This window comes from Homo sapiens, chromosome 3 (assembly GCF_000001405.40).
Source record: "Homo sapiens chromosome 3, GRCh38.p14 Primary Assembly".
In the NCBI taxonomy this organism is placed as follows: Eukaryota; Metazoa; Chordata; class Mammalia; order Primates; family Hominidae; genus Homo; species Homo sapiens.
Genome location: NC_000003.12, coordinates 44,513,188 through 44,526,245, shown reverse-complemented (window position 1 = coordinate 44,526,245; position 13,058 = coordinate 44,513,188). Strand labels below are relative to the sequence as shown.

General features: G+C 45.2%; 1 pseudogene, besides 2 other annotated features; it reads left to right on the top strand.

The window, feature by feature from the left end:
* EI24P3 (EI24 pseudogene 3) lies at positions 377-1,794 on the top strand (annotated as a pseudogene).
* Positions 7,755-7,874: an enhancer, noted in NCBI's record as "active region_19766". NCBI's record gives its function as "activates an Ori minimal core promoter by ATAC-STARR-seq in GM12878 lymphoblastoid cells {active_cell/tissue: GM12878}" and the evidence as "EXISTENCE:reporter gene assay evidence [ECO:0000049][PMID:35858748]".
* Positions 7,995-8,144: an enhancer, noted in NCBI's record as "active region_19765". NCBI's record gives its function as "activates an Ori minimal core promoter by ATAC-STARR-seq in GM12878 lymphoblastoid cells {active_cell/tissue: GM12878}" and the evidence as "EXISTENCE:reporter gene assay evidence [ECO:0000049][PMID:35858748]".

Sequence of the window (13,058 nt, the reverse complement as noted above, 5' to 3'; positions counted from 1 at the left end):
GTACAGCCCCACTCTCCAGTCAGGCAGAGGCCAACCTTATAACCTTATTGGTACAAACTGAAGAGGAGGTTTCTACTACCTTTTTCATAAGAAATCAGTTGGAAACCTTTCCACGGGGCCAAAACAAATTTAGAGCAGTGCTTCTCAACTTTAATGCATGGAAGCACCACTTGGGAGCTTTGCAAAAATCCAATGCCTGAGCACCACCTACAAGATTCTGATTTAATCGGTTTGAAATAAGGTAGAGAATTGCATTTAAAAAAATCTCCCTGTCTCTGCAGCCCAGGCATGGCCAATGTGGGCATAGCATCCCAACCCTGGGAGCACCCCGGTGGAGCAGGCTGCCTGGCACAGAGGAGCCAACTGGGCCCGTGGTGGTGGGTGAGGGGCCAGGCTGGAGCCGTGGTGGCAGAGCTGCAGGGTCCTTCATGATGAGAGATTGGGGGCACTTATATCTCCTCTGCGTAGTTGATAGTTTGGGTACTGACGACATGGCTGACAGTGTCAAAACCTTTCTCCAGGACCTTTCCAGGGGAGTCAAAGACTTCATCTGGGATATTTGTACCATCTCCAGCTAGACACTCCAATCCATCAAAAGAGGGGAGCAGCGTGGAAGAAGGGCAAGCATTGTCCTGGCACAGAGAATACCCCAGAGTATAGAGTGGGAGCAAGAGAGTGAGCCAGCAAGTGTTAGTAGAATTTTCCAGTGTTGCGCTTGGAGGGGTGGACTGCTCTGGTTCAGTCTACTCTTGCTTTATCGGGTGTTTATTCCTGGGCTTCAGTGAGTAACAGCGTGAATTACTTATGATCCATCACTGTGTGGAGATGCTTGGTCATGGCTGGAATTTTTCCTCGTATAAATTTCCAGGCCTTTGGGTGCTCCCCTTGTACATGCCTAGCAAAGTTGTGAATGCCATGTGGTTCCAAGATACAGCTGACCTGGCATTTGAAGCATCAGGGAGGAAGCCTCACCCATTCCCTAGTGTCCACAAAATAACTGCTGACATGCTCTCCAATCTTTTGCTGCAGGCTCTTTTCCCCATTCAAGGAATGTCTGTGAGTCTCTTTCCCACCCACCTTGTTGGTCAGCTGGTTACTCTCCGGCGTTTGTCTCTTCTTGACTCATTCTACTGCTTCAAATATGGTTGGTTCAGTAAAGGAATTGAAATGCACCAGCGGTTCCTCTAACACAGAGAGGAACTGGCTTTACTACTTTGGGTTTGGTTTTTTTGGCTTTTCTCACAGCAATGCAGTCCTCATATATTTTCCATGGCTGCCTTTTCTCTATCCTCTTTCCTTTATTCATTATCAGTGCAATGAGGCAAAGATCCCCGGCCAAGCATACCTCTTTGAGTTGCACCTCTCCTCCTTCGTGGTCTTCTTAAGCAACAGACTCTTCCACAAGACACTCTCACCTGCAGTCTGCCTTGAGCAGCTCAGCCTCTGCAGAGAAGTTCCCTTCACCACATATGTCTCTACCCAGATTGAAGGCTACTGAAGGCCTGAGTCACCTGCCATCGAGGGGATGGGTGGGATTGGAAGGAGGCTGTGGCAGCTCTTTTCCCATTTTACCTCCCCCTGCCAGGAAAGGCACGATTCATCCTGCCAAAGGCCCTCTGCATATTCCCTCTCTGAGGAATTGGAATCTTTATCTCTGGTGCACGTAAGGTAGAATCTTCCTGACACCAGCGTGTGGATTTTTAACACCACTGAGAGTCTGAAAGGACCACAGTTTTTTTAGTTTTAGTTTTTTTTTTTTTACAGCGATTTTTCTAGCATTTGCCAGTCCCTATGGCTGGATTGATTTGAATATTTTGTTTTTCTCCCTGTGCCATTTACCTTCCCACCTTTCCTTCCTGCCTTCTACCACCCTTGGGTGAATGAAATTTGTAATTCCAGCTGTTGCATTTTGTGGATTTGTTATTTTTGTCGTTTTTCTGTGAAGCACAAACATTGGATGTGGGAGGTAAAGGAGTGTCTCAGTTGCTCCTGGTCACTCCCTTTATAGCCATCACTGTCTTGTTTCTTGTAACTCAAGTTAGGTTTTGGTCTCTCTTGCTCCACTGCCAAAAAAAAAAAAAAAAAAAAAAAAGGTCTGAAGAGATGGGACAGGAAGAAAGAGAAAGACCTCACAGCCAGATCTTCAGACCTTCTGGGTTTTGGGGAGAGATTTTCTTTCTTCCCTTTGAAGGAGAAAAAGCTATTTTCACTGGTACATTTAAACTCCCCCAACTAGGCAGAGGTACCAATTCTGGACAAGTGCCACTGCAACACAATGCTCAGAGAGCTTGAACTTTTCATCTCTGTTGTGGGGTGCAGGGTAGAAATTTACTGTTGGCCACTGCTGGGTCTGTTTCATATTTCAAAGGAATATTGGGTGCTGGGGGCTACAAAGAGGAATTGAAGGGGTAAATTTTTTAAACTAATTAAACCTGTGATTGGTTGATGTTTTCCTGTCGTTTTAAGAGACTAAATGTGGGGGGCAGATGTCAAAATACTTGTACAATTTCAAAATGTCACAATGAAACGTGAGCTGGTTACACACACACAAATTTTCCCAGTGTTTTCTAAGTGCAGCTAAGGTTGAACTACCAATTTAGAGGTCTCCGGAGTGGTTCTCCAAGCATGGTGCCCCAAATGGCTGTGTCACCTGGGAACCAGTGATGAAGGCAAGTTCTCAGGTCCCTCCATAGACCTACTCAATCATAAATGTGAAAGTGGGGTCCAGTGATCAGAGTTTTAACACGCTCTCCAGATAAGACTACTGTGTTTCCGAACCATGTCATAAAGGCCAAAGAAACACACACAGGATGCAACTTGAAGGTCCCTTTTGTGGATTCCTGTAATAACCTACATGTGTTATTGAACCCCGATATTTAGATCCATGTACCTGATGTGCAGTAAGCCAAACACTGACACATCAGCACTTAGGAGCAGAGAAAGGTTTATTTAATTTGACCAAACAGAGTGGGTGAGAGACACTCAGAACCAAGTCTTATGTTCAAAGATTTCCCTTTGAACATAACTGGGGGCTTTTCTGAGTAAGGTAGGTAGGCAGGAGGTGGAATGCCTGACAATCAAAGCTGTTTGCATCTCTTGGTCTGATCAAACTTCTGGATGCCATCAAGAAGGTCTGCATCACCTAAGACTCATTGTGATTTATTTATTGTCACGTATGTCCATATAGAAGACCACCTAAACAGGCTTAGTGTGAGCAACAAGGCTGTTTATTCACTTGGGTGCAAGTGGGCTGAGTCCAAAAAGAGAGTCAGCGAAGGGAGATAGGAGAGGGGCAACTTTACAGGACTTGGGTAGGCAGTGGAAAGTTACAGTTGAAGGTGGTCATCTGTTGTCAGCAGGGGGAGGAGGTCACAACGTGCATGGTGGGGAGATCATGAGATCCATTGTCCTGGAGAAAAATGTCATAAGGTCGATTGATCAGTTAGGGTAGGGCAGGAACAAGTCATAATGGTGGAATGTCGTAAGTTTGGTTAATCAGTTAAGGCTGAAACTGGCTGTTTCATTTCTTTTGTGGTTTCTCGGCTGCTCCAGACTTCTTGGCTCCTGCAGGCCGTCTGGATGTATACGTGCAGGTCACAGGGGTTACAATGGCTTAGCTCCGGCTCAGAGGCCTGACATTTATTTGTTTGTTTATTTTTAGAGACAGGGTCTTGCTCTGTCACACAGGCTGGAGAGTAGTGGTGGAATCATAACTTACTGCAGTCTGCAACTCCTAGACTCAAGTGATCCTCCTGAGTCGCTAGAGTTACAGCACATCCAGCTAATTTTTTGATTTTTTTTTTTTTTTGTAGGGAGGGTCTTCCTCTGTTGCCCAGGCTGGCCTCAAACTCCTGGGCTCAAGCAATCCTCTTGTGTTGTCAGCCACCCAGAGTGCTGGGATCACAGGTGTGAGCCACATGCCTGGTCTCCTTGTTCTTTAAAAGAAAAACAAGGCCAGGCACGGTGGCTCACACCTGTAATCCCAGCACTTTGGGAGGCCAAGGCAGGCAGATCACGAAGTCAGGAGTTCGAGACCAGCCTGACCAACATGGTGAAACCCCATCTCTACTAAAAATACAAAAGTTAGCTGGGCGTGGTGGTGTGCACCTGTAATCCCAGCTACTTAGGAGGCTGAGGCAGGAGACTTGCTTGAACCCGGGAGGCAGAAGTTGCAGTGAGCCGAGATCTCACCACTGCACTCCAGCCTGGGTAACAGAGCGAGACTCTGTTTCAAAAAAAAAAAAAAAAAAAAGAAAGAAAAACAAGTTTATCAATCTTGCAGGCAGCCACAGGGGTTAGGATATGAAATTAATCAATTACTAGTGACTACCCTCTACTGAAGTGACTATGTGCAAGCATGCATGGAGGAAGGAAAAAAAAAAGTAAAACAGCTTATGATTCTTTTAATAAAGTCTTGGTTACATATGTTCTAAAAAGAACTTAAAGAGCTTAATCTAAACTCCAATTTGTTTAATGCCATGGCCAGCAAGCTTCATAGGGGATTTTGAAATCTGCCTTGGAAAGGTCTCATAGAACTTGTTTCAACCTCTTGAAGAACCTTGATAAGGGTATTTTTGTTTTTTGGTTTTTCTGTGTTTTGTTTTCACAGGAAATATGCCAAGTCCAAAAGGAGATCCCCCTACCTCCTTCATACCCATTATATCCATTTTCTCTTCAGTAAGACCTTCAGGACCTGAACTGCCAGCCTTCCATCAGCCCCTCATTTATTCTGGCCCCTCAGTATTAGTCACTCCAAATTCACTGTGTGGAGTGAGAACTCCAGTTGGCTCAGGAGGCTTATTTCCTCTTCCCTCCCGCTTTTCTCCCTTCTTGGAGAATTGGCTCAGCAGATCTGAATGGGCTTAGCAAAAAACAGGCTGATACCAGCCTTGAAGTTGAGATTCTGCTAACAAAAGCTGTACCTCCCTGCAGGAAGCTCCCATTTACATAGGCAAGCACCTTGCTGGTGTCTGTGGGTGATCCCTATTGATACATAGACCATTGTGGGATGGCACAGTATCTTTCTGGAGCCCTTTCCATGATGGGTGGAATCCTGGTATTTTTCTTTTTAAGCACTCTTCTCTGGGGGATGATGGGAACTCGGGAGCTCCTGTAAGGTCTATTTCTTTATTTGTTTGTGCCTCGTTCTCCTGCTCCTGAACTCTATAGCAGTAGTGGTGAGGATGTCTGTGCCACTGAGGGACTGTCTCTCTTCTGTTGTGTGTCCCCACAAGGAAGCAGAACAGAGCCTAGACATGGGCACTGCAGGTGTCTGGAGTTCAGCAGTGATACAGGACAAATGTCCCACTCTGTCTCTCTAGAATGTCTCTGTCCTCTAAAAGAATTAAGATAGGCTGGGCGCAGTGGCTCACACCTGTAATTCCATCACTTTGGGAGGCCAAGGCGGGCAGATCATGAGGTCAGGAATTAGAGACCAGCCTGGCCAATATGGTGAAACCCCATCTCTACTAAAAATACAAAAATTAGCCGGGCATGGTCGTGCACACCTGTAGCCCCAGCTACGCTACCTGGGAGGTGGAGGCAGAAGAATCACTTGAACCCGGGAGGCAGAGGTTGCAGTGAGCTGAGATCACGCCACTGCACTCCAGCCTGGCAACAGAGTGATACTCCGTCTCAAAAAAAAAAAAAAAAAAAAAAAAGAATTAAAATAGATTCCAGTTTTCCTTTCTTCAGAACTTTGCCTCTTTTCCTTTTTTTTTTAAAAAAAAAAAATCTTCTCCCCTGCCTTTGCTGTCTTTTCATTTCTTTTCTTTCTTACTTTTCTTTTCTTTTTTTTTTTTTTTTTTGAGGAAGTCTCATTCTTGTCACTCAGGTGGAGTGCAGTGGTGCGATTTTGGCTCACTGCAACCTCCGTCTACTGGGTTCAAGTGATTCTCCCGCCTCAGCCTCCCGAGTAGCTGAGATTACAGGTGCTAATTTTTGTATTTTAGCAGAGACAGAGTTTCACCATGTTGGTCAGGCTGATCTCGAACTCCTGACCTCAAATGATCCACCCATCTATCCCCCCACTCCCCTGAACCTTAACTAGCATTAGTTTATAACAGACGACCTGCAAAACTTACAAAGATAGCTCTCCAAAGAAGTGTCCTGAGAGTTGCCAAAAAGAAATTGCACCAAGGATCCAGAGAAACAGGCATTAATAATCGAACACATGCTTCCATTCCAACCCTAAGCTTCACAGCAGTTACACATAAAGAAAACTGTAGCCAGAAGCAAGAGCACAATCTGTAGCCTTCTCTTCTCACCTTACAAAAACTCCAATGTTTCTTTGGCTCAGAGATTTGCCTCATTTCGAGGTGCTCACTGATACACACATAAGCTGAATACAGCCTTTACCGACTATTTTATTCACTTTAGTTTGCTTTCTTTTTTTTTTCTTTTTTTTTTGAGACAGAGTCTCACTTTGTCACCCAGGCTGGAGTGCAGTGGCCACGGTCTTGGCTCACTGCAACCTCTGCCTCCCGGATCCAAGCAGTTCTCTGCCGCAGCCCCCCGAGTAGCTGGGATTACAGGCGCCCACCACCATGCCTGGCTAATTCTTGTATTTTCAGTAGAGGCAGGGTTTCACCATCTTGGCTAGGCTGTCTTGAACTCCTGACCTCGTGATCCATCCGCCTCGGCCTCCCAAAGTGCTGGGATTACAGGCGTGAGCCACCGCGCCTGGCCAGTTTGCTTTCTTGACAGTAACATTAGACTTGGTGCCAGAAGGAACTTGGAACATAAGTCTGTTCAACATTCTTTGGAGAACAAGAATCTCAATATAGTTCCCTGCATCCCAGGTAAACTATCGCCCTTTCATAACCTATAAATTGATAATAAAGGGGTATAACTGCAGCTGACACAGACAGAAATAGGGAGCTACCAGAAGCTGTAGGCAAGCAACACTGAGGTAATGAGTTCAGGGTTTTCCAGATAGCAGAAAAGGAAAACCAAGCCAGGGTACAGTAGTTTGTGCCTGTAATCCCAGCACTCAGGGAGATGGAGGCAGGAAGATCGCTTGAGCCCAGCTTGGGCCACATAGCGAGAACATTCCTGTTCTCCACAAAAGGAAAAAGAAAGAAAAGGAAAAACCAGCTTTGAACGAAGCAGTGACTGACAGTGCAATTTTATAGTACAAGTTAAATTTATATCATTGTAATTTTACCCTAAACATATCTTTAACAAATATGAAAAAGGTAGCTATTGGTATGTAAATGTAAGGTATTTTTATGACTAAATCACGTGCTCTTCTCACTTCTCTGCTCTGTATGCAGAAAAAAGGTCACTTATAAAGGTCACACCTATGAAGAGCTGTTGGACTTATAATTGCCTCAGAGAACCATTGCTGTTTTTACTTTTGACAATGCTGAATTTTACCTGAGCCCTGTGATTCTGGTTAACAGTGAAGGTTAAGAAATCTCCTCACTCTCCTGTGTTCCAGAAAATGACTTTCTACACAGAACCACCCTTCCCCATGTGACTTACGTAAGACTCCCAGATACCTCCAGTTTACCGATGACAAGGCCAGACACAGACCCTCCAAATTCCCATTCTTTGCCCCATGAATGATTAGCTAAAATGCTTGTCCCCACTGATCAAGTGGAACAAAATACCTGAGAGCCAAACTTTCCTCAGGCTTCTCTCCTTCCTACGGGTCCCAGAATTCTGCCTGACTCCACACCTAAGTGAATACAAACAGTGGAATAAACCCCTTTATCAGCCTCTCCTGGGAACTGGCACACCACAGGAAGATACCGTCCTGTCAGACCTCACTGGTTATTTCCGTTTGCTTGTCCAACTTCCCCTCAAAGATTCTGCTTATCTCTATTTACCTCCTCCTTGCCCTATACGAGAGAAACTTCTTCCTTTTGATTTGGAGACACTTGCATATCTTATGGTCACAGTGTGGAGTGTGTTGGGGTGTGGACTTAATCAGATGCTCAAAAAGAGGAACTGATCAGCTTCTAGCCAGGATCTCAAACTGAATCAAAGCAGCATTTTAAAAAGCATTTGCAGCTGGGTGCGGTGGCTCACGCCTGTAATCTCAGCACTTTGGGAGGCCGATGTGGGTGGATCACCTGAGGTCGGGAGTTCAAGACCAGCCTGACCAACATGGAGAAACCCCGTCTCTACTAAAAATACAAAAAATTAGCCAGGTGTGGTGGCGAGTGCCTGTAATCCCAGCTACTTGGGAGACTGAGGCAGGAGAATCACTTGAACCCAGGAGGCAGCTGCAGTGAGCCGAGATCGTGCCATTGCACTCCAGCCTGGGCAACAAGAGTGAAACTCCTTCTCAAAAAAAAAAAAAAAAAAAAGAATTTGCTTGCCTGGCGTGGTGGCTCACGCCTGTAATCCCAGCACTTTGGGAGGCCGAGGTGGGCAGATCACAAGGGCAAGAGATCAAGACCATCCTGGCCAACATGGTGAAACCCTGTCTCTACTAAAAATACAAAAATTAGCTGGGCGTGGTGGCATGTGCCTGTAGTCTCAGCTACTCGGGAGGCTGAGGCAGGAGAATCGCTTGAACCTGCGAGGTGGAGGTTTCAGTGAGCCAAGATCACACCACTGCACTCCAGCCTGGCGACAGAGCAAGACTCTGTCTCAAAACAAAACAAAAAGCATTTGCTTTTTTATATTATATTTATGTTACAAGCAGTACCTTCAGCAGAACCAGCAGCACGCTTATGCTGGGAACATCGGTGATGTGTGTATTTGTTAATGGCTGCCAGTGTTGAAATGATACTTTGCTGTGACCCCCACTTCAGGAGTATGGACCGCTATGTCTGTTGGGGGAGGAATGGAACAATGAAGCAAGTAGCCTAATTATCAAACTATAACTGGGGATAGGTGCCTGTTTCTGGTCCCTGTCAATCTAAGAGGAATGTTGACAAAAGAAACTTTAACCAAAAGAGACTTATCAGGCCTGGACAGGATGCATGAGAAAAAACTTTGATATCTTGCAATTTCACTACAGTGTGTCTAGGTGCAGATTTATATTTATTTATCCTGTTTAGGATTTACTGGGCTTTCTGAATCTAAGGATTTTGGTTTTTCAATAATTTTGGAAAATTAACAGCTATTCTATCTTTGAATACATGTGGTTAATTTTTTTCTTTTCTGGAACTCCTAATAGCTGTAGGCGAAACCTTATAATTTCTTCCTCTATGTCTCTTAGACTCTTTCATATTTTCTTTTTGTGTGTGTGAACCTCTGGATTCTATTGAAACTTTCGTATTTTAAATCTCTACATCTCTGTGCAGGAGAGTTTTCAGGTCATCTAATATGCAAAATTACTTGAAACAGAAGTCCTGCCCACAACTGTTGATTGGTTTAGAAATGGGCATGCAACCAGCTGGGCACGGTGGCTCACGCCTGTAATCCCAGCACTTTGGGAGGCCGAGGCGGGCGGATCATGAGGTCAGGAGATTGAGACCATCCTGGCTAACACGGTGAAACCCCGTCTCTACTAAAAATACAAAAAATTAGCCGGGCGTGGTGGCGGGCGCCTGTAGTCCCAGCTACTCAGGAGGCTGAGGCAGGAGAATGGTGTGAACCTGGGAGGCAGAGCTTGCAGTGAGCCAAGATCGCGCCACTGCACTCCGGCCTGGGCGACAGAGCGAGACTCCATCTCAAAAAAAAAAAAAAAAAAATAGAAATGGGCATGCAACCTCAATTGACCAACCAAAGCCTTTTCCTGAGATTCTTTTGAATTAGAACTAAAGGCAAAGCTATTAGATGTGTTCTAACCAACTTTCTAGTCTCTGGTTTCAGGGATTTCTAAGATCCAGCTGCACCCCTGCTGCTCAAGTGTTTATGTAAGATACTTCCTCTTTTGCTCCAAGTAGTTTGATCTGTGGCTCTTACGTATGATGAAGAGAGTCCTAACTAATGCGTAGGATTATTTCAAAATTTCCAAGTACCATTTCAGAGAGGGAGTGAGGAACTGCAGATGAAGGATAGTGTGGGAAATTTAAGAGATTTTTAAAAACTTTGTATAGTCATTATCTATGTGTTGCTATATAACAGATTATCCCCAAACTTGTGGCTTAAACAACAAACACTGCCTGTATCACCGTTTCTGTGGGTCAGACATTCAGGAGTAGCTTAGCTGATTTGTTCTTGCTCAAAGTCTGTCCTGAGATTTTAGCTGTGATGTTGACCGGGGCTGTCATCATCTTAAGGCTCAACTGGCTCTGGAGGAGCCACTTCCAAGATGGTTCACTAATGTGACCGTTGAAGAGGGGCCTGAGTTATTCGCTAGCACTTGGCAGGAGTCCTCAGTCTCTTGCCACGTGGGCCTTCCATGATGCTGCTTAAGTGTTCTCAAGGCATGGCAGCTAGCACCCTTTAATGTGAGTGATCTCAGAAACAGAGGACAAAGGAAGCCATAGACATTTTATAACCTAGTCTTGGAAGTGAGCCATCATCACTTCTGCCTTATTCTATTTGTTAGAAGCAAGTCACTAAGTCCAGCTCCATCTCTTGAAGGGAGAAGTAGCAAAAAATTGTGGACATATAGTTGACCCTTGAATAACTTAGGGGTTAGGAATACTGACCCACCATGAAGTAGAAAATCTGCATATAACTTTTGCCTCCCCCCAAATTTAACTACTAATCATCTACTGTTGACCAGAAGCCTTAGAGATAACATAAACTGTTAATTAACACATATTTTGTATGTAACATGTATTATAGACAGTATTCTTACAATACAGTAAATTATGAAAAGAAAATGTTAATGAGAAAACTGGGCAGGTGTAGTGGCTCATTCCTGTAATCCCAGCACTTTGAGAGGCCCAGGCAGGATTGTATGAGGACTGGAGTTCAAGACCAGCCTTGGCAACATAGTGAGACTCCATCTCTACAAAAAATTTTTAAAAAAATTAGCTGGGCATGGTGGCATGCACCTGTGGTCCTAGCTACTTGGGAGGTTGAGACAAGAGGAACCCTTGAGCCCAGGAGTTTGAGGCTGCAGTGAGCTGTGATCATGCCACAGCCTCAGCAACAGAGTGAGATCCTATCTCAATTAAAAAAAAAAATCTTCTCACACCTGTAATCCCAGCACTTTGGGAGGCCAAGGTGGGAGGATGACTTGAGCCCAGGAGTTCGAGAGCAGCCTGGGCAATATGAAGAGATCCCATTCCTACAAAAATTTTGCAAATTAGGCATGTGTGGTGGTGTACACTTGCGGCCCTGGCTACTCCAAAGGCTGAGATGGAAGGATTGCTTGAGCTAGGGAAGGTGAGGCTGAAGTGAACTATGATTGCGCCACTGCACTCTAGCCTGGGTGACAGAGCAAGATCCTGTCTTAAAAAAAAAAAAGTCATAAGGAAGAGAAAATATATTTACTATTTATTAAGGGGAAGTGGATCATCATATAAGCCTTCATCCTCACTGTCTTCACATTGAGTAGGTTGAGGAGGAAGATAAAGAGTAGGGGCTGGTCTTGCTGTCTCAGAGGTGGCAGAGGCAGAAGAAAATTCATGTATAAGTTGACCCAGGCCATTCAAATCCATGTTGTTCAAGGGTCAACTGTATTTGAAAAACACAATGTCATTCCTCCATGGGTTATAAAGGTCACGTTAGCCCCGGTACTCCATCCAGACCACCATTCCACCTGAATTTACAACCTTCCTTCTTGGGAGGATCCTAATGTCAGTCTTTATGCACTCACTACTCCTCATGTCAGGAATTACACCCATGTTTGCCAGTCACGAAACCTGCATGTTGGTCATGGCCAAGGCTGGAAGGCCTGATGAATTGTAACATTTCCTCCAGATCCCAGACAAACCTCAGATGGGTTGCCCCAGACCTCATCACTGACCCATATCCTTCACATGATGGCAGCAGATACTATGCGCACACTTCACAGGAGTCCCTCGTTTACACCAGTCATGGTGTTCAGCAGGGAGATGCCTCACCCCTGTGACTACCCAGCCATTTGATTTCTGTCTATTGTCTGCAGTCTGTCTCCTGATTTGGAAGGAACAGTTGAGGCATTCTGACTCTGTATTTAACTGTTCTCTGCCACCGTCCGCTGATTGATGACTATACATAAAGTGTCAACTGGATACTCAATGGTACACATCTTCCTACTAACAACTCCCCTAGTGCTTTCATCTTGCCTTTTATAAGTCTGCATCCAACTTGTTACACTCTAACACCCCAACAGAACAACTATGGTTTCTGTATCTCCCTGCTTCTCTGCACCCACTTCCTCCACTAACATCCTAGCGGCCAGGCCATACAAGACAAACTATTTTCTGCTGGTCTTGACATTAAGGTAACCAGAGCCAGGCCATGTGGGAGATCATAAGCACAGGACACATCCAGCTCTCCTTTTAGCAAGCAACCCATTCATCTCCAACCCACTCAGAGAACAATGACATAGGCTTGTTGAGAATAAAAGAGGCCCTTAACCCCATGGCCCTCTGACACCAGCTGTCCCCACCTTGTCAATCCACCTCATCTTTCTGACAGCAAGGCCAATCCTGAATCGTTCATATGGTCCAGCAACTAAAGGGTTAATTGGGTGATTGGGGGAGGGGCTAAAGGAGCTGTTTTTCCACCTTGTCTCCTTCTACCTATGAGGAGGGGCTGCAGGAAGGGAAAGAAATTGACCTCCTCAACGACTTCCTTCCAGTTCACAGACAGAACTGTTTCAGTTCTGTTACCTAGGTCTCTTTTCTTCTCAGGGATGATATTTAAAAGATTAACAACCAGTGGCTGGGCGCCATGGCTCACTCCTGTAATCCCAGCACTTTGGGAGTCCTAGGCAGGTGGATCACCTGAGGTCAAGAGTTCAAGACCAGCCTGGGCAACATGGCAAAACCCCATCTCTACCAAAAAAAAAAAAAAAAAACTTATCCGGGTGTGGTGGTGTGCGCCTGTAGTCCCAGCTACTCAGGAGGCTGAGGTGGGATGATGGCCTGAGCCCAGCAGGTGGAGGTTGCAGTGAGCTGAGATCCTACCACTCACTGCACTCCTGCCTGGGCGATAGAGCCAGACTTTGTCTCAAAAATAAATAAATAAGCCGGGCACAGTGGCTCATCTTGTAA